This window comes from Homo sapiens, chromosome 7 (genome assembly GCF_000001405.40).
Source record: "Homo sapiens chromosome 7, GRCh38.p14 Primary Assembly".
Classification (NCBI taxonomy): domain Eukaryota; kingdom Metazoa; phylum Chordata; class Mammalia; order Primates; family Hominidae; genus Homo; species Homo sapiens.
This window is the reverse complement of record NC_000007.14, coordinates 105,672,444-105,693,745: the sequence shown is the minus strand read 5'-3', so window position 1 is coordinate 105,693,745 and position 21,302 is coordinate 105,672,444. Positions and strand designations below refer to the sequence as shown.

The 21,302-nt window shown below is 46.8% G+C and overlaps 1 protein-coding gene across 4 annotated transcripts in view, besides 10 other annotated features; it reads left to right on the top strand.

Moving 5' to 3' along the window:
• The window catches only part of ATXN7L1 (ataxin 7 like 1), a 271,828-nt gene that overhangs the window by 182,854 nt on the left and 67,672 nt on the right, over positions 1 to 21,302 (top strand). The window contains exons 1-2 of one of the 4 annotated variants that reach the window (NM_001318229.2): positions 14,591 to 14,694; positions 15,682 to 15,800. The exons of 2 other annotated variants lie outside the window; for them this stretch is intronic. The gene's annotated coding sequence lies outside the window, so the exon portion shown is untranslated. Of the gene's footprint in view, positions 1 to 14,590; positions 14,695 to 15,681; positions 15,801 to 21,302 lie in introns of those variants that run through there. One more of the 4 variants, NM_138495.2, reaches the window with a different exon arrangement.
• Positions 1,793 to 2,468: an enhancer, noted in NCBI's record as "H3K27ac hESC enhancer chr7:105331725-105332400 (GRCh37/hg19 assembly coordinates)". NCBI's record gives its function as "activates a minimal SCP1, AML or CMV promoter by ChIP-STARR-seq in naive H9 embryonic stem cells {active_cell/tissue: H9 hESC(naive)}" and the evidence as "EXISTENCE:reporter gene assay evidence [ECO:0000049][PMID:30033119]".
• Positions 2,469 to 3,144: an enhancer, noted in NCBI's record as "NANOG-H3K27ac hESC enhancer chr7:105331049-105331724 (GRCh37/hg19 assembly coordinates)". NCBI's record gives its function as "activates a minimal SCP1, AML or CMV promoter by ChIP-STARR-seq in naive H9 embryonic stem cells {active_cell/tissue: H9 hESC(naive)}" and the evidence as "EXISTENCE:reporter gene assay evidence [ECO:0000049][PMID:30033119]".
• Positions 3,145 to 3,820: an enhancer, noted in NCBI's record as "NANOG-H3K27ac-H3K4me1 hESC enhancer chr7:105330373-105331048 (GRCh37/hg19 assembly coordinates)". NCBI's record gives its function as "activates a minimal SCP1, AML or CMV promoter by ChIP-STARR-seq in naive H9 embryonic stem cells {active_cell/tissue: H9 hESC(naive)}" and the evidence as "EXISTENCE:reporter gene assay evidence [ECO:0000049][PMID:30033119]".
• Positions 3,821 to 4,496: an enhancer, noted in NCBI's record as "OCT4-NANOG-H3K27ac-H3K4me1 hESC enhancer chr7:105329697-105330372 (GRCh37/hg19 assembly coordinates)". NCBI's record gives its function as "activates a minimal SCP1, AML or CMV promoter by ChIP-STARR-seq in naive H9 embryonic stem cells {active_cell/tissue: H9 hESC(naive)}" and the evidence as "EXISTENCE:reporter gene assay evidence [ECO:0000049][PMID:30033119]".
• Positions 4,497 to 5,172: an enhancer, noted in NCBI's record as "OCT4-NANOG-H3K27ac-H3K4me1 hESC enhancer chr7:105329021-105329696 (GRCh37/hg19 assembly coordinates)". NCBI's record gives its function as "activates a minimal SCP1, AML or CMV promoter by ChIP-STARR-seq in primed H9 embryonic stem cells {active_cell/tissue: H9 hESC(primed)}" and the evidence as "EXISTENCE:reporter gene assay evidence [ECO:0000049][PMID:30033119]".
• Positions 12,571 to 13,070: an enhancer, noted in NCBI's record as "H3K27ac hESC enhancer chr7:105321123-105321622 (GRCh37/hg19 assembly coordinates)". NCBI's record gives its function as "activates a minimal SCP1, AML or CMV promoter by ChIP-STARR-seq in naive H9 embryonic stem cells {active_cell/tissue: H9 hESC(naive)}" and the evidence as "EXISTENCE:reporter gene assay evidence [ECO:0000049][PMID:30033119]".
• Positions 13,875 to 14,814: an enhancer, noted in NCBI's record as "H3K27ac-H3K4me1 hESC enhancer chr7:105319379-105320318 (GRCh37/hg19 assembly coordinates)". NCBI's record gives its function as "activates a minimal SCP1, AML or CMV promoter by ChIP-STARR-seq in primed H9 embryonic stem cells {active_cell/tissue: H9 hESC(primed)}" and the evidence as "EXISTENCE:reporter gene assay evidence [ECO:0000049][PMID:30033119]".
• Positions 14,602 to 14,741: an enhancer, noted in NCBI's record as "active region_26469". NCBI's record gives its function as "activates an Ori minimal core promoter by ATAC-STARR-seq in GM12878 lymphoblastoid cells {active_cell/tissue: GM12878}" and the evidence as "EXISTENCE:reporter gene assay evidence [ECO:0000049][PMID:35858748]".
• Positions 17,337 to 17,837: an enhancer, noted in NCBI's record as "H3K27ac hESC enhancer chr7:105316356-105316856 (GRCh37/hg19 assembly coordinates)". NCBI's record gives its function as "activates a minimal SCP1, AML or CMV promoter by ChIP-STARR-seq in naive H9 embryonic stem cells {active_cell/tissue: H9 hESC(naive)}" and the evidence as "EXISTENCE:reporter gene assay evidence [ECO:0000049][PMID:30033119]".
• Positions 17,413 to 17,462: an enhancer, noted in NCBI's record as "active region_26468". NCBI's record gives its function as "activates an Ori minimal core promoter by ATAC-STARR-seq in GM12878 lymphoblastoid cells {active_cell/tissue: GM12878}" and the evidence as "EXISTENCE:reporter gene assay evidence [ECO:0000049][PMID:35858748]".

The window sequence follows — 21,302 nt, the reverse complement described above, 5'->3', positions numbered from 1 at the left end:
CTGGTGGCCCCGTAACCAGAAGAGCAACCTTTGCTCTCCAAAACAAAGGTGAAGCTGGCCCACAGTCACAGTGGCTTTTCCAAACAGCCTGTTTCTACTTACTCATTACTTTCCCCAAAACCTGTGGAGTGGGAAGGGGGTGACATTTTATTCTTCAAATTAGATGGATGGATGGATGGATGGATGGATGGATGGATGGATGGATGGATGGGGCATTAGATTTAAGTCCACCCAGCAATTTAAAATTTCTCACTCGGTCAGACACAGTAGCTCAAGCCTGTAACCCCAGCACTTTGGAGGCCCAAGCGGGAGGACTGCCTGAGGCCAGGAGTTCAGGACTAGCTTGGGCAACATAGTGAGATTCTGTCTCTACAAAAACTTTAAAAATTAGCCAGGCATGGTGGCAGACACCTATAGTCCCAGCTACTTGGGAGGCTGAGGCAGAAGGATTCCTTGAGCCCAGGAGTTCAAGGCTGCAGTGAGCTATGATGGCACCACTGCACTCCAGCCTGGGCAAGAGAGAAACCTTGTCTCTATTTAAAACAAAAACAAAAAAAATTTCTCACTCTTACGTCCACACCCAGGTTCTCTTGGAATTGTTTTCTGAACTCCTCAGGTAACTAAAATTTTATTTGGTTAATTCTCTTGGTCCTACAGTGAGATACTGCTTGATGCACTCTGGGAAAAATGGAAAAGCCTGTTAAAATAAGCAATTTAAGAAGTGTTTCTGCTGGGCATGACGGCTCATGCTTGTAATCCCAGTGCTTTGGAAGGCCAAAGCAGGAGGATCGCTTGAGGCCAGGAGTTTGAGACCAGCCTGGTGGCAAGACTCCGTGTCTACAAAAGATTTAAAAATTAGCCAAGGGCAGTGGTGCGGCTCCTTAGGAGGCTGAATCGGGAGGATCGCTTGAGCCCAGGAATTCAAGGATGCAGTGAGCTCTGATGGCACCACTGCACTTCAGCCTGGGTGGCAGAGCAAAAGGTCTCTAAAAAAGAAAGAGCTGGGTGCGGTGGCTCATACCTGTAATCCCAGCACTCTGGGAGGCTGAGACGGGTTGATCGCTTGAGGTCAGGAGTTCGAGACCAGCCTGGCCAACATGGCAAAACTCCATCTCTACCAAAAATACAAAAACTAGCCAGGCGTAGTGGTGCATGCCTGTAATCCCAGCTACTTAGGAGGCTGTGGCAGGAGAATTGCTTGAACCCAGGAGGCAGAGGTTGCAGTGAGCCAAGATAGCGCCATTGCACTCCAGCCTGGGTGACAGAGCCAGACTCCATCTCAAAAAAAGAAGGAAGGAAGGGAGGGAGGGAGGGAGGGAGGAAGGAAGGAAGGAAGGAAGGAAGGAAGGAAGGAAGGAAGGAAGGAAGGAAGGAAAGAAAGAAATTCATCCAGCATGTCCCTTTCTTCTCCTATGGGATTTACCAACTGACAAATTCTAGTGCTCCTGCCATCACCCCCACATGTGCAGCAAAGCCTCCACATTTGCAAAATCTAAGTCAATCTCTAAAAGATGCTTCGAGGAAGCACCCAGTTCCTTCTGCTAATAACCGCAGTGTGTCATGTGACACCTCCCCCTCCCCCAACCAGTTCTCTCTGAAAACTACCCACCCACCCCACCAATAAAGTAGCATGACGTCTGTCCTTCAGCTGCCAATATCTACATTTCCTTCAAGGTGGTAATCTTTTGCTTTTGTAATTTAAGTTCTTTTTTATTCGTAATTGTTACCCAATTGCTTTGGGGCTTGCATAAACAGTTAACAAAAACACCCGCACGAGGCAGCCGGTTCGCTTTCTGTGCTTGTTGTTCTTGGCACTGGGTCAGTTCTATGAACTTCTGGTGTCCAACTGGTAGGACCTGAAACTCCGTGTTTAACAAGTGCGTGTAGTCAAAACAGTTGGCGTGTGCAAGCGCGGATAGCTGGTATTGACTGCAGCTGGTCAGCCGTCGGGCTGTGCACCGTGCAGAATACCGTATCACGTTGCTCTGTTTGGGGCTGGGCTTTTGTTGTTGTTTAGTCGTTGCGATTTTTTTCCCTCCTTTTTCTTTCTCTCTCTCTCTCTTTTTTTTTTTCTTTTTTTTTTTTTTACTGACATCCGTGCTAATGTGGATCGCTTCAGGTTCCAAAAGTACAACATGTTTACAGTCGTCGTAGCATCAGATTAAGTTGGCAGCCTGAGTCTCTCTGTAAGTGGTTTTAGTTTACATTTCTTCTTCTAGCAGGATGTTTTGCATAATTTTGCTGATCCTAGGTTATTTATAGACTTTTTTTTGAAGAAACGGGGATGCATAAGAGTTTCTGTTCCAACTGTGGAAAGTGAAATTTGTTTCTCCACTTAGAGAAACGGCGGTGTATGTGCAGCAGAGGGTTATTTTAGCTCTTGATGATTAATTTCTTAGGGGTCACTTAATAACGTTCCCGAGAGTCCTAGGACGTGTTGTTTTCCTTTAGTCGTTCACAAACGGAGTAAAATGAAAGTAATGATGCCATTTCCTCTGGGGCGCTCCTCGAGGGTGGATGCAGTGATTGGGTATTGTTTCAAACGTCTGAAATGAGTTTACAGCGGTTGTTTTGTCAAACTCCTGGGAGCAGTGGCATTTGGTGACCCAAAACATGCCCAAGGGCTGGTCTGCAGGACTCAGAGTCACGGGGGAGGGGGACGGAGGAAGAACAGACACAGGGAAGTTACTGGACCTTAGTTTGTCCCCACCTAAATGACAGTGATATGCAGACATTTATAACATTTTTAAAAGGATGATTGACTGCAAGATGGCATATGGGCTCATGCTTTATCTGTGTGATTTTCTGGCCTGGTGGTAGCATCTTTGGGGGCCCGTGTGCATGTTTGAGTAAGAACTAAAGCTTAGCGAAAACACTAAGCCGGAATTAGCACTCTATAAAAGGGTTTCCCGTAATATTTACTAGAACAGTTGGCTAAAAATTGCCGTGCTTGTCCCACTGAATGGCTGTGTAATTAAATCAGCCCTTGATATCGTACCTTGAGCACCTCCCATCTCTGAGTCTGCCGCTCTTGGAATTTGCATGAGTAAGTAGCGCGTTCATCAGCATAATGAATGTGGAGTCCCAGTCTAATGGTCCGGGAGAACCTTGTAAATGAGACACTTCATTGTGCCTCGGGTTAAATATTTTAAACTAAACAAATCGCAAAAGAAGGAGAAGACGACAAACATCATTTAGGCCTCACGGAAGGCCTTCTGAGGAGCGGGTCTGCTTAGATCCAAGACCTTGAGTCCCACACAGATGGGTCCAACCCCACCCCCAGCATCACATGAATGAGAACGGACAGTGAAAACGGAAATTTCCAAGGTGGTAAATGTGACCATTAGGATGAGGCTTGACATAGTTCTAACTGCTGAGTGCTGCCAAGAGAGGCTTTCTTTTCTCCTCCATGTTTCTCTCATTCATATGAATGCTTTTTTTTGCTGGGCGCGGTGGCTCATGCCTGTAATCCCAGCACTTTGGGAGGCTGAGGCGGGCGGATCACCTGAGGTCGGGAGTTCGAGACCAGCCTGACCAACATGGAGAAACCCCGTCTCTACGAAAAATACAAAAATTAGCTGGGCATGGTGGCACATGCCTGTAATCCCAGCTACTCGGGAGGCTGAGGCAGGAGAATTGTTTGAACCCAGGAGGCGGAGGTTGCTGTGAGCCGAGAGCGCGCCATTGCACTCCAGCCTGGGCAACAAGAGCGAAACTCCGTCTCAAAAATAAAAAAAGAAGTGCCCTGTCTCCTTTAACCTTGCAGAGAATAATGATGAGGCTTCCTTGCTTTAGGCCTTTGACGTTTAGAGTCTGTCCTGTGCTTTCTCACACTGGCCCCACTGAGCTGGTGGGGGCCAAGTCCAGCCCTTTGGTCCTAGTAGGAAAAGCCTGGCTTTGGGGCCTGGCTCATACAGGGGAGCTGAGAAGCTAAAACTCGGGCTCGGACATGATCCATCGGACCTTCGCCTCCTCATGCCCCCATTTGCTCTGGGCTAACTGGCTATGACACGATGCTAAGGGACTCTTTGTTCTAATTTGATTCAAATCTGCCCCTGTGTGTGGGGCCTCTGTTCCACTTCCCCGTGCCTCCTCCGTATGTCTGGTTGGGACCGGGAGGACTTTCGGCCCACCTTCGTAAGGTGTCAAGCTTGAGGTGTGTGTTGGTTTGTATGCATCTCAGCTAGGAATGATTATGGGGGCTGCCCCCAGCTGTGTCAATCACCCCCACAGCCCAAGTGAATGGAAAGATGTGAAGAGAACCTATAGGCCTTTATGTTGGAGCTGGGAGGAGTGGCAGTAAATACTGAAAGGCTTTTGCATTTGAATGAGCTAAACCCTCCCACCCTGCCATCCTTGGGAAAGTAAAGGCCTTTCAGCTCTGTCTCCTAGAGCACGTTGCCCCTCCCAGGCCCTCCAGACATTGGCCTGCCAATATCTTAGAAACACCCTCCTTCCTCACTTTGATTCTTCCCTCCACCCCAGCCCCAGTGACATAGCTGCTGTTTAAACTTAATTGATCCGGGGCAGCTGGGCACCTTAGCAGCAGTGAGCATTTGTGAGCCCACTCCTTCTCTCTTGGCCCCAGGGGAGTGGTTCTGTCCACCCTACACTCCGGGAAGACCAAGGCACCCAGGCAGAACCTAGAGACCAGTGAATTCCCAGCCAAAGGCAGCACTGAGCCAGATGGTCTGTGTAATTTCGTCAAACCTTTGGGAGTCTGCTAACAGCGACCTCACTTTGCCATAGTCCATTCACCCCCAAGGTCTTGTCTTTTCTGGAACAACAGCCATGACATATACATTAATTAGAACCAGTAATCAGATTACTTTTTGGGTAAGAGGTGAAACAAGAAAGTAAGCTGATAAAAGGAGTTGATCACTCCCAGACTATGACCTGGAGTCATACATTTTCAGACCAGCTACTCACACCTGCTCCGTGTACTTGTAGACTACTTCAGCTTCAGGACTTCAGGGCAGGCAGACTGCCAGTTATCAGGGTTTAGGAGATTTGTCCCACCTTGACCTTGCTGTTACTGACCATGGGTTCTTGGGCTTTTGGTGCAATAGAAATGAGGCGAAAAGAGTCTTCCCAGACAAGGCTTCATTGGCGCTTACGCCAGGGCATAAGGTAGAGAGAGAGAGAATTCCCTGACTGACCCTCTGAAAACAGCCGATTGGGATTTTTTTTTTTTTTTAATTGACACAGGGTCTTGCTCTGTGTTGCCCAGGCTAGAGTGCAGTGGCACGATCACGGCTCACTGCAGCCTCTACCTCCTGGACCCAGGTGATCCTCCCACCTCACCCTCCCAAGTAGCTGGGGCTACAGGCATGTGCCACCATGCCCAGCTAAGTTATGTATTTTTAGTAGAGATGGGGTTTCCTCCATGTTGCCCAGGCTGGTCTCAAACTCCTGAGGTCAAGCCATCCACCCGCCTCAGCCTCCCAAAGTGCTGGGATTACAGGCATGAACCACCGTGTCCGTCCCCAGTTGGGATTTTTTTTATTAGGCGAAGTACAGGAATTGATATCAGGGTAGGGTATGCAGGCTGGGCTGGGCAACGCATGTGAGGGTTAGGGTATGCAAGTCAATGTATCTGGTTGTGATGATTATCTTGAGTCATGGGCCACCTGGTGGTCTAGCCGGCAACAACAAGGCTATAAATCAGTTGTTCAGCATTCCTTCCTGAGGTGGGACACTCCGCAACCTTGGTTCCATATTTTGGATCTCTTCAGTCCAGTTCCTGGAATTCTTTAAGTAAAAAGCATGGTTAAACATTATGAGAGCACCGAAGAACAATATAGAATGGCTCTTTTCTTTGTATGACTAAAGCCTTGGGGTGAGTGGGTATGGTGTCAGTGAGGTAGTGGTGTGGGTCTCATGGTCAGTGGGAATGCATGAAAGAATGCTCTTCTGCGGGTAGCTGAAGCCAGGCCACATTCCTGCTCTGTCACACTGCTCTGAAACACAGCCCAAGGAGGAGGATGCATCCGAGCTGCACCTAGGCCTCTGCCTCCATCCTATACTTTTTCTCCCTGATCTAGTGAACTTGCATGGTTTTTAGGTATTGGTCTTGGTATGATAGGGCTGTCATAACAAAATGAAACAGCCTGGGTGGGTTCAACAACCAAAGTTTATTTTCTCATGATTCTGGAAGCTGGAGGTCCAAGATTAAGGTGCCAGCAAGTTTGGTTTCTCCTGAGGCCCCTTCTTGGCTTGCAGATGGCTGCCCTCTTGCCGCCTCTTCATGTGATCCACCCTCTGGACTTGTGCCATTGTCGTCCCTTCCTTTTCTTAAGGACACCTATCCTATTGGATTAGGGCCCCATCCTAATGGCCTCATTTTAACTTAGTCACCTCTTCAAAGACTTTCTCTCCAAATGTGCTTATATTCTCGGGTACTAGGGATTAAGACATCAACATATGAAGTCTGAAGTGGAGAAATTTAACCCATAACACCAATCTGCCAAGCCTGGTCCTGCCTCAGCATCAGAACATTGCAGGAACCTCCATGGGGTACAGATTCATCTGTGAGTTTATTCCCCTCATGCATCAGTTTATAGAACCAGGCGCCATCTCTGTGTGGGTGCATAGTCAAAGGAAATGCAATGAGAGAAAGATAGGAATATGTTTAAAAGTCATCAGTGGCTATGAAAGTCTGAATTAGCTTTCATATGGCTTATGATGATTCTCAGGTGACTGTGGCAGCTCACCTGTCTCGAGAGAGACTCTTATTAGGGGTAGGTTGAGTAAGGGAAGCTTGTGGACCAGTAGGCTCCAGAAACTATGTCAGGAATTGTTACCTTCCCTTCTGGGCCCCTTCACTCCCACCTCCTTTCTGGGCCAACTCCCTGATCTGTTAATAGATTCATTGGCATAAACCTCTCAGTGTCTTGCCAACAATTACATATAGATACAGACGGTGTCTGACTTACAATGGTTCGACTTATGATTTTTTGGTTTCAAGATGGTACAGAAGTGACATGCATTCCATAGAAACTGTACTTTAAGTACCCATGTAACCATTCTGTTTTTCATTTTCAATATGATATGCAATACATTACATGAGATATTCAACACTTTATTATAAAATAGGCTTCGTGTTAGGGCATTCTGCCCGACTGTAGGTTATGTTCTGAGCACATTTAAGATAGGGTAGGCTAAGGCTATGAGGTTCAGTAGGTTATTATATTAAATGGGTGGGTTTTGTTTGTTTGTTTGTTTGTTTTGAGATGGACTTTCACTCTCATCACCCAGGCTGGAGTGCAATGGCACAATCTTGGCTCACTGCAACCTCCATCTCCTGGGTTCAAGGGATTCTCCTGCCTCAGCCTCCCAAGTAGCTAGGATTACAGGCGCCCACCACCACACTCTGCTGATTTTTGTATTTTTAGTAGAGATGGGGTTTCACCATGTTGGCCAGGCTGGTCTTGAACTCCTGACCTCAGGTGATCCACCCGCCTCAGCTTCCCAAAGTGCTGGGATTACAGGCATGAGCCACTGTGACTGGCCCTTAAATGCATTTTTGACTTACGATATTTTCAATTTATGATGGGTTTATCCAGATATAATCCCATTGTAAGTCAGAGAGCATCTGTGTATTTTTTTTTTTTAATCTGCCCTTAGTGTTCATTCCCCCTGGAAGTTGGGAAACTAACCTTAGATGGACGAGGAGAGGAAAATTCATTTATGTTAGTTATTGCCTCCCATCTTAATGCTGCTCTCTTCTCAGAGGCATGTGTTTGGCCATGCCACTTCCTCTCCTTCTTCCCCTGCTGTGGGATATCCTTGATCCTGAGATTCTAAAGGCCAACAGGTGACCTCTGACCATGCTTTGCAAAATGTTTCCAAGATTGGTTTTTAGTGAAGACCATTTATTCCCTGAAGACACCAACATCCTCAGCTGGAGTGAGAACAGGGTTTCTGAGAACCTGCCCTGAGAATGTCAGAGCCTAAAGCCTAGTTGTTCTTAGAAACCACCATCCAGGATGGAAGCTCAGGGATTGACTGGGGTCAAGCCGTAGGGGAGCTAAAAGTAACTCTCACGGCCCTTCATCACCTGCCGGTTCCCTGCTGCTGATACTCAGGTTCTGGTCTCAACAAGGGGACCATGGAGAGAAAGTGTGTTCCCACAGGCTGAGGGGCCCCTCTGCAAATATGGTAGGAAGACCCACTCCTTTTTCTTTATAAGCCAGCTTTGGCTCTGGTCTGAGATGAGAGAGGAGATGATTGCTACCAGGAGAGGAGATCAGGAATCTCATTATCAAAGTAATCCAGCTGCTGTGTGCTGAAAGACCTGTTCCTCCTGTCAGCCTGAGTACATCTATAGGTTCCTCCTTGGCTTCACAGGGAGGTCTCTGCCAATGGAAATGGTATCTTGACTTATTTATAACAGTAATCAGCATACTATTCTTTTATGTTTGCATAGTCTGACTCAACTTTGAAACCTCTTTTACATGCCTGATGTCATTGACTCTTCGCTATAGCGCTGGAGAGGGGAGGTACTGCTAACCTCAGAGCATAGACATTCTGGAAGGAGAGCCGGGATTTGGACTCCAGCTCTTGGATGTCAGTGCTCCTTCTATAGATTACAGCTTTCTAATGTCTGTATGTGGTTGCCAATAAGGAAGGTAGTTTGTCTGGGAATTGGAAAACCATTTATTATTATTATTATTATTATTATTATTATTATTATTATTATCATCTCTTCTCTGTACTAAAGGCAGTGTTGGACTGCTCATTGTGTGTAATACCCTGCTTAAAGAACTTTGCACTTAACCTTCACAACCAACAGTAAGAGGAGGCCTATCATTAGTCCCATTTGTCAAAGTCACCCACAAGATCCTACCAGGGAGATGAAGAAATGTGGGCCACGTGAGACACCTGCCCTGAATGGCACATGGTTCGGTACAACCATATCTCAAGAGTGCTTTTCAAAGGCCACTGTTGCACTGAGGGATGTATCGAGTTGCCCTCTTGGGCCTGTCCTCTTCCACGTTGTGTATGAGCACTTGGAAGAAGATTGGCATTGATGGCAGGCCGATCGAGTTTTCAGGTGGTAGATTTGGGAGGGAGAGCAGATTATGTTAATGAATCAGAGTCCAAAAAGATCTCAACAGACTGGAGCAGTAGACTAAATCCAACAAGATGACATTTTTAAAGGATACCTGTGGATTTGCAGCTTGGCAGCAAAATGTGTGAAATAAAACTTAGGGATGAGGCAGCTATCACAAATAAAAAATCTAGATTGGATCTCTGGCTGCATTAATAGGAGAATAATGTCCAGAACAGATCTGTAGGAGCTGGTCAGACCCCATCTGTAATGCTCTCCCTTCTGAGTTCCATGGTCTGTGAAGAACAAGAGGAGCCAAGAGAACCAAGATCAGGGAGTAATGAAAATGATGCTTTGTAAAGAATAGTTTAAGAAGTCATCTCAGGGTGTTTAGCCTGAGAGAAGGAAGTTTCAAGGAACAAACATTTGGCAAGATGTTCCATGGAAGGGGGATTAGACTGGTTCATAGTGACTCCCACAACGCAGACATGGGATTCATGAGTGGTCATTACACGGGAGCTTGGCATAAAGGAGAACTCTTCAACAGTCGGGACTGAACTCGGGAGGTGCCACTAAACTGTCACACCACTTACCTGGCTCACCGCTTATCTGGCACACTGCTTACCTGATGCACCGCCCCAGATGGAGCCTGCAGTGAAGCTATGCCTGGCAGCCCCTGGGCAGGAGTGTGGATGAGCAACTGCACTCCTGAAGAAGGGGGCCTGCAGAGAATGGTTACCTGTGGGGTTTTTCTTGCCTGTTGAGAGTCTGTTAGTCCCAACTTCAAGGTCTAAGATCTGAGTCCATGGGAGAATGATGATTCCTTTATGGAAATGGCGGCTGTATCAGGGATGAACGATCAGGTTGGCAAGAGGAAGAGCTGTGCCTCAGTGTCCCATTTGTAAATAGCTAGTGGAGCCTGTGTTCGTGTGTGTGCATGTGCGTGTGTTTGTGTGTGGTGGCATTGGTAGTGGCGGTGGTAGTTGTTTGAATTCAGAGGGTTTTTGTTTGTTTGTTTTGAGACGGAATCTCGCTCTGTCACCCAGGCTGGAGTGCAGTGGTACAATCTCAGCTCACGACAACCTCCACCTCCTGATTCAAGCGATTCTGCCTCAGCCTCCTGAGTATCTGGGATTACAAGTGTGCACCACCACGCTCGGCTAATTTTTGTATTTTTAGTAGAGACAAGGTTTCACCATGTTGGCCAGGAGGGTCTTGAACTCCTGACCTTAAGTGATCTGCCACCCTGGCCTCCCAAAGTTCTGGGGTTATAGGCATGACCCACTGTGCCTGGCCCTGAATTCAGGTTTTATTTTATGAAGTATGGGCACTAAAACCAAAACAACACCCCCTAAAGAGTAACAAAGCACCACAACCAGTCTATCTTCAGTATCAATACGTAAAGGAGATCCTAACGCAGAAAGGTAGGGAGGATGTAAACTCAGAAAAATCTGTATGTACATATGCATGTGTATGCATGTGTGTGTTTATGTATCACATTGTTTAAGACAAATTAACACTTCTTTGTGGACCCAAATTGGTAGCATTAGCGTTTGGGAACTGCTGTCTTAGAGTGCCTGTTTGCTGTATCCTGCTGGCTGCCTTAATTACTTTAACTTAAAAATTACCTCCTTTAAGTGATTTCAGAAAGGGTTTTAAAGGTAACTCAGTTATCTTGAAACTAATTGTTCTGCTGTAGATTATCCTTGCTCTTACTTTCTGCAGGCTTTTTTAAAATTTGGATGAAATTCACAAAACATAAAGCTAACTGTTTTAAACTGAACAATTCAGTGACATTTAGTACATTGGCAATGTTGTGCAACCACCACTTCTATCTAGTTCCAAAATGTTTCATCACACTCCAAAATAAAACCTCATACCCATTAAGCAGTTATTCCCCCTCCCCCACCACATACAGCCCCTGCTAATCACCAATCTGCTTTTCTTATCTATGGATTTACCTATTCTGGACATTTCATTTAAATGGAATCATACTATATATATATGACCTTTTGTGTCTGGCTTCTTTCATTTACCATCATGTTTTTGAGACTCATTTGTATTGTAGCATGTATCATGCTTCATTCCTTCTTATGGCTGAGTATTCTTTTATTGTATGTATGTAGCACAGTGTTTGTTTATCCACTCATCCATGGATGGGCGTTTGGGTTGTTTCCAATTTTTTGGCTCTTATGAATAGAGCAGCTATGAACATTTGTGGACATGGATTTGTGTGAGTATCTGTTTTCAATTCCTTTGGATATATACCTAGGAGTGGAATTTTGGTCCATATGGTAATTCTATATTTAACTTTTTTATTAAAAAATTAATTTTGGTGAAATATGCTTAACGTGAAACTTACCCATCTTAATTTTTAACGTACAGTTCTGTGGAATTAAGTGTATTCACATTGTTATGCAACCATCACCACCATCCTCTCCTGAACTCTTTGTTTTTTGTTTTTTGTTTTGAGACGGGGTCTAGCTCTGTCACCCAGGCTGGATGGAGTACAGTGATCTCGGCTTACTGCAACCTCCGCCTCCTGGGTTCAAGCCATCCTCCCACCTCAGCCTCCCCAGTAGCTGGGACTACAGGTGCACACCACCACGCCCAGCTAATTTTTGTATTTTTTGTAGAGAAAGGGTTTTGCCATATTACTCAGGCTGCTCTCAATCTCCTGAACTCAAAAGATCCTCCTGCCTCGGCCTCTCAAAATGCTGGGATTACAGGTGTGAGCCACTGTGCCCAGCCCTCTCCTGAACTCTTTATCTTGCAAAACCGAAACTCTATACCCATTGAACAATAACTCCCCATTCCTCCTCCCTTGCAATCCCTGACAACCGCCATTCTGTCTATGAATTTGACTATCTCGAGCACCTCATGTAAGTGGAATCATACATTATTTGTCTGTTTGTGACTGGATTATTTCACTTAGCATAGTGTCCCCAAAGTTTGTCCAGGTTGTAGCATGTGTCAGAATTTCCTTTTTATGGCTGAATAACATTCCATTATAGGATTCTCTATTCATTCATTGATAGACACTTGGGTTGCTTCCACCTTTTGACTATTGTGAGTAATACTGCTATGAATGTGGGTATACCCACATTTGAGATACCAGTTCTTTTGCATATATATCCAGAAGTGATATTGCTAGATCGTGTGATCATGTGCTGAATCAATTTTTAATTCTTTGAGGAACCGCCATACTCTTCTTCATAGTGGCTGTACCATTTTACATTCCCACCAACAGTGCACGAGGGATCCAACTTCCCCACATCCTCACCAAGACTTGTTATTTTCATTGTTTGTTAACAGCTATCCCAGTGGGTGTGAAATGATACCTCACTGTGATTTCGATCTGCGTTTCCCTAATGACTGGTGACTGGAGTCATTAGTGCCCACCACCACACCCAGCTAATGTTTGTATTTTTAGTAGAGATGGGGTTTCAACATATTGGCCAGGCTGGTCTCGAACTCCTGACCTCGTGATCCACCCGCCTCAGCCTCCCAAAGTGCTGGGATTACAGGCGTGAGCAACCGTGCCCAGCCCTTTGCCCATTTTTAAATTAGATTGAACCTGCCTGTTTTTGTATTTAGAGTTACGGTTCTAAACTTGCTGCTCTTCAGAAGCTAGAGTAAATATTGCATCTTATTATCCTAAGCCACATGTTTGCTGAGAACTTACGCTACCTCAGGTGTAAGGCTACCAAGAGCCTACACGGGCACCTGAGATAGGGAGGGAGAGCAGGGCTGCAAGAGGCAGGGGCCAATGCTCTAGAAGGTCCAGATTGCTCTGGGAGAGCTGGCCCAAGAGTAGCTGTTCCCATCTCTGTCCTCCAGGTCATCCTGAAACTCTTTGCAGAGATACTAGGAAAGCAACTCACGTTTTTCTCTGGAAAGACTCAGGTTCCCAGGCCTCGGGCCTGCCCTTTCATCTGTGTTTCTTCTAAGCATTGCAACATCCAGCAGGCCTCTACTCCACAGTCCCCTGGGTGAAGGGAATGTGCCCAGGGGCCCTTGACCTGCTAGCCTGGGATCAGGGAACAACGCCCACAGCCTAACTGTTGGGAACAGACAATCTCCAGCCAAAGCTGCAAATGACTGAAAACGAGGGCTGGTCAGATGGGTGGTCAGTTTATACCCCCTCAACACCCCCCTACTACATTCCAAACAAATGGAACTGTGGAAACTAGTTCTGCTTTGCCAGCCAGCACAACTCCCTCTCAATCTGAAACTGATGAATTCTCCTCAATTCTGGGAAGAAACTCTCTCAACAAGAGGGGAAAAGGAAGCCAAGAACCCAGAAGTCCAGTCATGTTCTCCCTGAATAATTCTCCCACGGGGGACTCACTGTCTCTGGCTTTGGTTATGTTTTCAAGTGGCTGAAGGGATGGTCCCCACAGGAGACCATCTTACATAGGCAGTCATTATAATGCCCTCTCTAATCTCTCTAATGCCTAGTAGGCTCTGCCTAGCTTGTGTGTGATGAGAGGAAGTATGTGATCATGACGTGAGGGAGTGCTGTCTCCCCACAGTCCAAAATTCTCCAGGAAAATCATACTTCTGAGTCTTGGAATACTTTTGTGTCTTAAAGGTTTAATTTTTTTTTTTTTTTTTTTACTAAAAGGCATGTACCCCTTATCTAAGGTTGATTTAATATTCATCAGGTAATAACCAGGTTTTGCAAAGAAATGTTGGATGCCACACAGGAGAGGTCCTAGCAGAAGATAAAGATGCGCAAAGCGTACTTTGCCACTGTTTTTTTTTTAATTGAGGTGAAATTTGCATCACAGAAAATTAACCATTTTAAAATGTACAATTCAGTGGTATTGAGTACCTTCACAATGTTGTGCAACCATCACCCCTAAAGAAGACCCTGTGCCCATTAAGCAGTCACTCCCCCCGCCTTCTTTTCCCAGCCTGCCCCTGACAACCACAAGTCGGCTTTCTGTCTCTATGGTTTTACCTATTCTGGACATTTCATATAACGTGTGGCCTTTGTGAACCATTGTTTTGGTAGGCATTCTCCCCCCTCCAAATCTACTGTCCTTGGCCAAGATCAGGGACCAAACTTTCTAAATATCCAGAATGAATGAAATCTCCCTGCTTAAATCAATAGTTCCAACAACCCACAAAAGTATTTTCCAATCATTATAATGACCTCTCTACTCTCTCTAAGGCATAGTGCTAGGTAATGAAGTGGACTCTGCCTATCAAGATGGTCAGACCCTGAGCGAAGAGGGAGTGGGAAGGCCTGAGGTGTCTTCAGGCTGCCTGGGGACCGGGGACCCAGGCCAGACAGACAGCAGCTCCAGGGCTGCGGAAAGGCCCAGCCCTGCACACACAGCGCTGGCTCTGATACTCCTCTGAGGAGCCTGCTGCCTCTGACCACACCTTGTGTGTGTGGTTCAGGAATACCCAAGTTCATCTGCCAAATTCAGGATACAACCCTGACTGTTCCGGGCTTTTCTTTCTGCCTTTCCCTAATCTCGTCTGGGCGTGCTCTCTTAAAGGGGAAGTGGTGCGTTCTGACTGGCCAGGGCCCTCATCCAGGAGCCAGGAAACATCTACTACCACGAGTCGCGTTGCCCAGCGTGTGTCAGCCTCCTTATCCAAACGGCAAGGCAGCCTCCCCGGGATGTGTAAGTGTGAGCGCAGGGCACGAGGGCCACACAGGACGGCGTGGGGCTGGGCGCAGGTCACGGAACAGAGATCCTGGCAGGCAGATCATGCTGGCAGCCCACGAGGCATTTAGCAAAATGAGTGTTAGCATAGACAGTGCTCTCCGGCTGTGGGCTGGAGCTGGAGCCGAGACAGGGCTGAGGCGGGGAGCGGGGAGAGTAGCTGCCTCAGAAAGAGGTCAGGAGTAGGAGGCTGGGTTGGGGACCAGTCTATTTTGGACAGCCCTTCTGGAGGCACCAGCCTCCGGCCTGAGAAGGAGTGGAGTGGAAAATTTTCTAGCACACCTTTCAGAGCACCGGGAAGCCAGCTGCAATGAACCTTCCCGGCGTGTCAACCCCAACGCCCCATGTTTATGTCCGTGTATTATCTACTCAGTGCACTTATCTACTCAGTCATTGTGTTTCTTTGTTGTTTTTATATGTACTTTGTGTTAAGACATGTTCAGGGTCCTTTCTATTCAAACTGTACAAATTGTTTGAAACTAGCACCCTGGTTTTTTCCTTCTTTCCTGTCCACGATGGTCCTTGTCCAGTGCATGCACACTGCAGGCCCTGAATCAACGCAGGCGACTGGCCCACAGGTGGACTGACGGGCTCACTAGGATGCTGGGCAGCGTGTCTGGCTGGTTTCTAGCTAGGGCTCTGTTTCCTGTGTGCCCAGAGAAATAAAGGGGAAAAAGCACACCCACTCACACACACAGTCAGTTCCTAACTAAATGCCACAAGCGAGTGACTGGTGGCAGGAAAATAGACCCTTTGCTGTGTTTTAGGCCCCTTTCTGTCCTGGGTTTTTGTTTGTGTGGTAGTGATGGTTGATCTTAAATCATGTAAAAAGTTTGTTTTCACCAAAATAACTCAGACCTTTTGCTTCTAAAGAAGGGAGAGAAAAGGGGGCCAGAAAGGAAAAAAAAAAAAAAAAAGTATGTGTCTGTACGCATATGTTGACAGGGCATAACCACACCCTACTTCAAGACAACTTCCTGTTTGCCGCTGCCAACTGCCACTCCAAGGAGAACAGAAATGGTTCCGTTATTAGTGGCTGCTGTGGGACCACGACAGTCTGTGGGGTGAGTGGCTCTGAGCGACACCATGAGCTTAGCAGTGAGTGGAGACTTTTCACCTTCTCTTATAAGAGACCATGGCCCTGTGCTGTTGAAAGTAGACACTGGTACAGATAGAAATAAAGCAGTGGTGGCCTCTCTTATCAGCCTGTGGTCCTTAAACAGTGTGCTCCCATAGGATTCTTGTAAGTGGACTAATTTAATTCAGGGGCAGGGATAAGGCTGAGAACTGCCTACTGAGGAAAGCTACTACCTGTGTGTGTGTTTTTAATGGACATTATCATGTATCAGGGGAACTTAATGTTAAGCGTCTCCCATGAGTTGGCACTGTGGTAGCCACCTTCTACATGTTATCAATCCTCCCAACACCCATTTATTCCACAGTGAATAGAGTGAGTGCTCTTGAGGGCAAAACCCTGTGCTAAACGCTGGAGATAAAAGAGTAAACAGGACACCTGCCCTCTGGGTGTGTCCAGGCACAGGACACTTAGACCAGTAAACCAGTAATTACAGCGTGTGATGTGCGCTAAGATGAGGGACTCAGTGTACTCGAGCACCTGTCCTGTTGTAACTCCATGATGTGGGTATTATTGTCCCCATTTTACAGGTAAGGAGACTGGGGCTCAGGGGGTTAAGTTATTTCCCCAAGTCCCAGAGCTAATGAGTGACAGAGCTGGGATTTGAGCCCAGATCTTTCTGATTCCAAAGACAGCATGTTTGGTCGGCATTTCCAGTGACTCCCGAAGCTCATGGAGCATGAAAATCACCTCAGGACCTTTTAAAAAATCACAGATTTGGGGGCCCTGGCCCTGCTGTCCAAAAGTAAAGAAGTGGCTGCTGCACTGTGTGTTCTCTGATGTGGAAGTGCAGCCTGGCACCTGCTCTGCCTCCTGCAGCCAGGATCCTCCCTCCACGGGGCCTGGCAAGCCATGAGGCCTTAGCTCAAGGCACCAGGGCAAAGGTCACTGATGCTGCCTCAAGACAGCGTTGGGAAGATTCGGTCCAGCTGTTCAGGTATTTTTATGTATTTATTTTAAAATTTCAGCTTTTAGATTCAAGGGGTACATGTGCAGGTTTGTTTTGGGGGGTTTTTTGTTTTGTTTTGTTTTTTTGAGACAGAGTCTCACTCTGTCTCTCAGGCTGGAGTGCAGTGTCGCAATCTCGGTTCATTGCTACCTCCATCTCCAAGGTTCAAGCGATTCTCCTGCCTCGGCCTCCCGAGTAGCTGGGATTACAGACACATGCCACCACACCTGGCTAATTTTTGTATTTTTAGTAGAGACGGAGTTTTCCCATGTGGGCCAGGCTGGTCTTGAACTCCTGACCTCAAGTGGTCCACCCACCTCGGCCTCCCAAAGTGCCGGGATTACAGGTGTGAGCCACTATGCCCAGCCATTCTATCAGGTATTTTAAATATGGGGAATCCCAGCTCATGGATCTTCTCCCCAAGATCCTGGGGTCTGTGGCTCCCCCGTGCCCAGGTCCAGCTGTCTGCCATACCTGTCCCATCAGTGCTCTGGGGGCGATATCAGCTGTGTCATCCTAAGGTAGAATTCAACAGCTTATCTGCAAGCTGGTAGCCCCCAGTTTTCACCAAAGCTGTGGTGACTCCTGTGTTTAAACACATGTGACTTGTGCGGTGTGTGTTTGTGGTTTTGGAGGGGGCTACTCTGATGGAGAAGTTCAGTGCCATGCATGTGGAGTCCTTGTCAACCCCTCTGCTACCACTGGGCCCAGACAGTGGGGAGCAGATAGAGCCATAAAAGGCCTCATGTTATGAAGAGGATCGTGGTTCTGGCTCCAGGTGGAGTCCGGCAGACTCAGGTCCTTCGGGCAGCAGCTTGCCTTCTGAGGGCCGCGTCCGTTCTCCTCCACTCAGAGTGACAACTGTGGCAGCGAGCCAGGATCTGGAGAGTGCTGTCCCCTGAGCACAGGAAGCCCTCTGATGACAAAGGTCTAGCAGTGACAGCAACCTATTGTATCATCACTGTAATAACCCAGGGCTCATAGCCCAGTGTCTGGCACATGGTAGGTGCCAAGGAAATGCTAAGAAAAAAAAAAAAAAAAGAGTGAATGAATGAATGAAATAGCTTTCATTTTAACCCATATTTTTGTCTCCTTCCTGCATTTGTATTGGCACCTACTTTCTCTCTTCCACCTTTTCTGCTTAAGGATATGTTAGTGTTTTGTTGTTGTCTGTTTTTATCTTCTTGGATGAACTTAAACAGTTTTAAAAAAGACAGAGCCTATTAAGCAATGCATCTTATATCATTCTCTTTTTTCCTCATCATCATGTATTTATCAAGTGCTTTTTTTTTTCTTTTTTTTGAGATGGGGTCTCATTCTGTCACCAGGCTAGAGTGCAGTGGCGTGATCTCAGGTCACTGCAACCTCTGCCTCCCAGGTTCAAGCAATCCTCCCACCTCAACCTCCCGAGTAGCGGGGATTACAGGCATGCACCACCACGCCTGGCTAATTTTTCTGTGTTTTTAGTAGAGACGGGCTTTCACCATGTTGGCCAGGCTGGTCTCAAACTCCTGACCTCAAGTGATCCACCCACCTCGGCCTCCCAAAGTGCTGGGATTACAGGAGTGAACCACCGCACCCAGCCTCAAATATTTTTCTTTAAGTAGTGATTAGTCTCTACATACTATTTGTGCCATTTTGAATTTCCTTGTGAATGTGAGTGTACTATTTTGCATACATTTTCTTAGGTTGAGATAACTCTCTTACCTGTCTCCTACCAATTGCTTTATTATGGATTATTCAGGTTGCTTGTAGTATTTTTTTTTTTAACTGTAGTAAACAGTGCTGAGAATATCTTTGAACTTTTTTTTTCCCTTTGGGATATTTCCTGGAGGCCTATTTTCCAAACTTACATTACCAGATTACCAGATGAAAGGCTATGGATGCTTTTTAGTTCCTGTTATTATCACCAGGTTGCTCTCCAGAAAAATGTAATCCCTTGAAAGTACCGCTGGCAAGGTGTACATGTGCTTGTCTCCCCACAGATTCTATTTCTGTAGTTTTTCCTTTTAGCTAGTCTAGGTGTCTTGTGAGGGCATCCCTGGGGGCTGATGGAAGTATTTCAGGGCCCTGGAAAGCCCCTGGGACTCCCCAGATCCTGCCCAATAGTGGTGATGCCAGAAATTTGCACCTTAGTATAAATGACAAATAGAAGAGGAGGAGGAAGGGGGAATGCCACCACAGGGGAAAAGTTAAAAAGGATCCTAAGTTACATGACTTCACAGCAGCTCTGGAATGGGAAATGCCCTTGTAAGAATCATCCCAGTTGCATTTCTAAAGCGTGGAGGGAAAGGAACATCCCAGGCAGGGTGGCATGGTAGAAAGGGCATTGGCTCTGGGGCCAGGCAAGCCTGGGCTTTCCTGCCAGCTGCTGAGGTCTGCGTGACCTTGGTCTTGTTTCACAATCTTGCTAAGCTTTAATTTCCCCCATCTGATATCTAAGAAGAAAAAAAAATAATAGTAATTTCCCCATCTATAACAAGGCAACTAACGGTATCATACCACATGGTAGGGTTATTGGGTAGATGAGCTGGTGAGTGAAAAGCAGCTTACACAGTGCCTGATATATAGTAGGTACTCAAGAAAGCCTGCTTTCCCTCCTAACTGAATGAATGTGCATGGGGTGACCAGATGACGAAGAAACCATCCCAGAGCCTAGGGATTTGGGAACTGAGCTGGTGTTGGTGTGAACAGTGTAGACCACAGGCCCACACTCATATTTGTCAAAAGAACTTAGTGCCCAAGATAGGTCATGTTGCCCAGCAGTGGGTAGGAGGTGAAGAGGGGTAAAGAAGACCTAGCATAACCTTTGCTTAAGGAACGCCTCCTCGGCTCCTCAGCCCTGCCATCTTTTAAAGAGGTACTGCAGTCTGAGAAGGGAATGGGCACTCCAGAAAAGCTCACAAGCACTCCTGGCATGGAAACTGCTTGGCACAGCTCTGCCTGCATTCGCAGCCTGTCCTATCACCTGACTTTCCTGTGTCTTCATTTCCTCCTCTGCTGAGCAAGGCTGATTCAATATCCCCCCTTACACCATGGCAGTAAGTTTAGTATCTAACTACGATGGTGACAAATGAGACAACAGGCCCAGGTTCTAGCCCAAGCTCCTCCACTTAATAGTCTTATGACTTTGGGCAAGTTTCTCAAATGCAGTCTGTCTCCATTTCCACAGCTGGGGGGAATCGTTACCTCACCAAGCGGCTGTAAGTACAGCTGGCCTGGCTCCTGGCACGGCTCCCAGTGCCAAGGTGCCAGCCCTGCCTCTCTCTCCAACTCCAGTTTACTTTTGGAAGAAGGCCCCTTGGAAATCAGGGTGTTTATAGGCAGCATCCTGACTGCAGCTACAAAAGCAGATTGAACCCACTGATAAGATAGAAACCGGCTAATGACTTGCCAAGCACCTGCCCTCAAAAGTGGGGGCTGAAGGAGACTCCATGCTGTCAAGTGAGTAAGCCAGGTGCTGGCCTAAGCCCAAGTGTGCTTACACAACCATGGCAGGCCACAAGCGACTGTGGTGCTCAAAGTCTATTGGGAGGGGGTTAGTCCCTTAAAAGCCATATTGGAAAATTCTCAACAAGTTCTTTCTAAAAATGGTGCAGGGAGCCACCTTGAGTATTTGCAGCCGGCTCAGCCATTCATGAGGCATCTGTGCTAAGGTTTTAAATACAGGACACTGATGCTGCAAGTATGAAAATATCTCCATGAATAAGCGTATGGGGAAGGGAACACTGAATTTTTACTGAAATGGGATTGCCTGAGAACCTGATGGATTTTATCTTCAGAGAGTGAGGGGAGCAAACTGGAGACACCAGGGTTCCCCGCGCCTATCAGATTTTTGGGATGCTGACAGCTGGTGTCTGCAAGCTCCCTGCTTGGCTGATCTCCAGGACTGCCCCTGGAGTTGCACCTGGATGTTTAAGGAGGCTGTGGGGAAGCAGGTGGTCTTGAAACAGTCAGCTGCTGAGGCCTTGGCCTGGACTTCCTGTGGTGGAAATGCACAAAAGTAAAAGGATTTGGCTTTTCATTTCTTTGGTACTGGGGCCCCCCAACTCTTTGTGATTGAGGTCTTAGGCAATGGTATGAGCTGCTGACTGGTACCTGCCAGCTGCCTAACACCTAAAAAGTGTTTCTTCCTCTCCCTAGGGGAGTCAGGTGCCCTGCTGAAATGCCCACAGACAGTGGGAAAGGAGAGGTCCCGCTGGCTCTTTCAGATTCCTCCTATCTGTAGCAGAATCTTCCAGGATTCCAAGGTGGTAGAGCCCAGAGTTAAGACAGGGGCTCTGAAAACATCCCCAGATCTGATGTTTTCTAGCTCTGTGACCTTAAGCAACTCATTGTATCTCTGAGCCTCAGGAATTATACCTCAAGGAAATAATTCTAAATCACTTTTTAAATCAGTTTTTTAAAAGACAAATAGTAGGTCGACAGTACGAGAATAGCTAAATAATCTACAGCACATTAATGATTGAATATTACCTAACA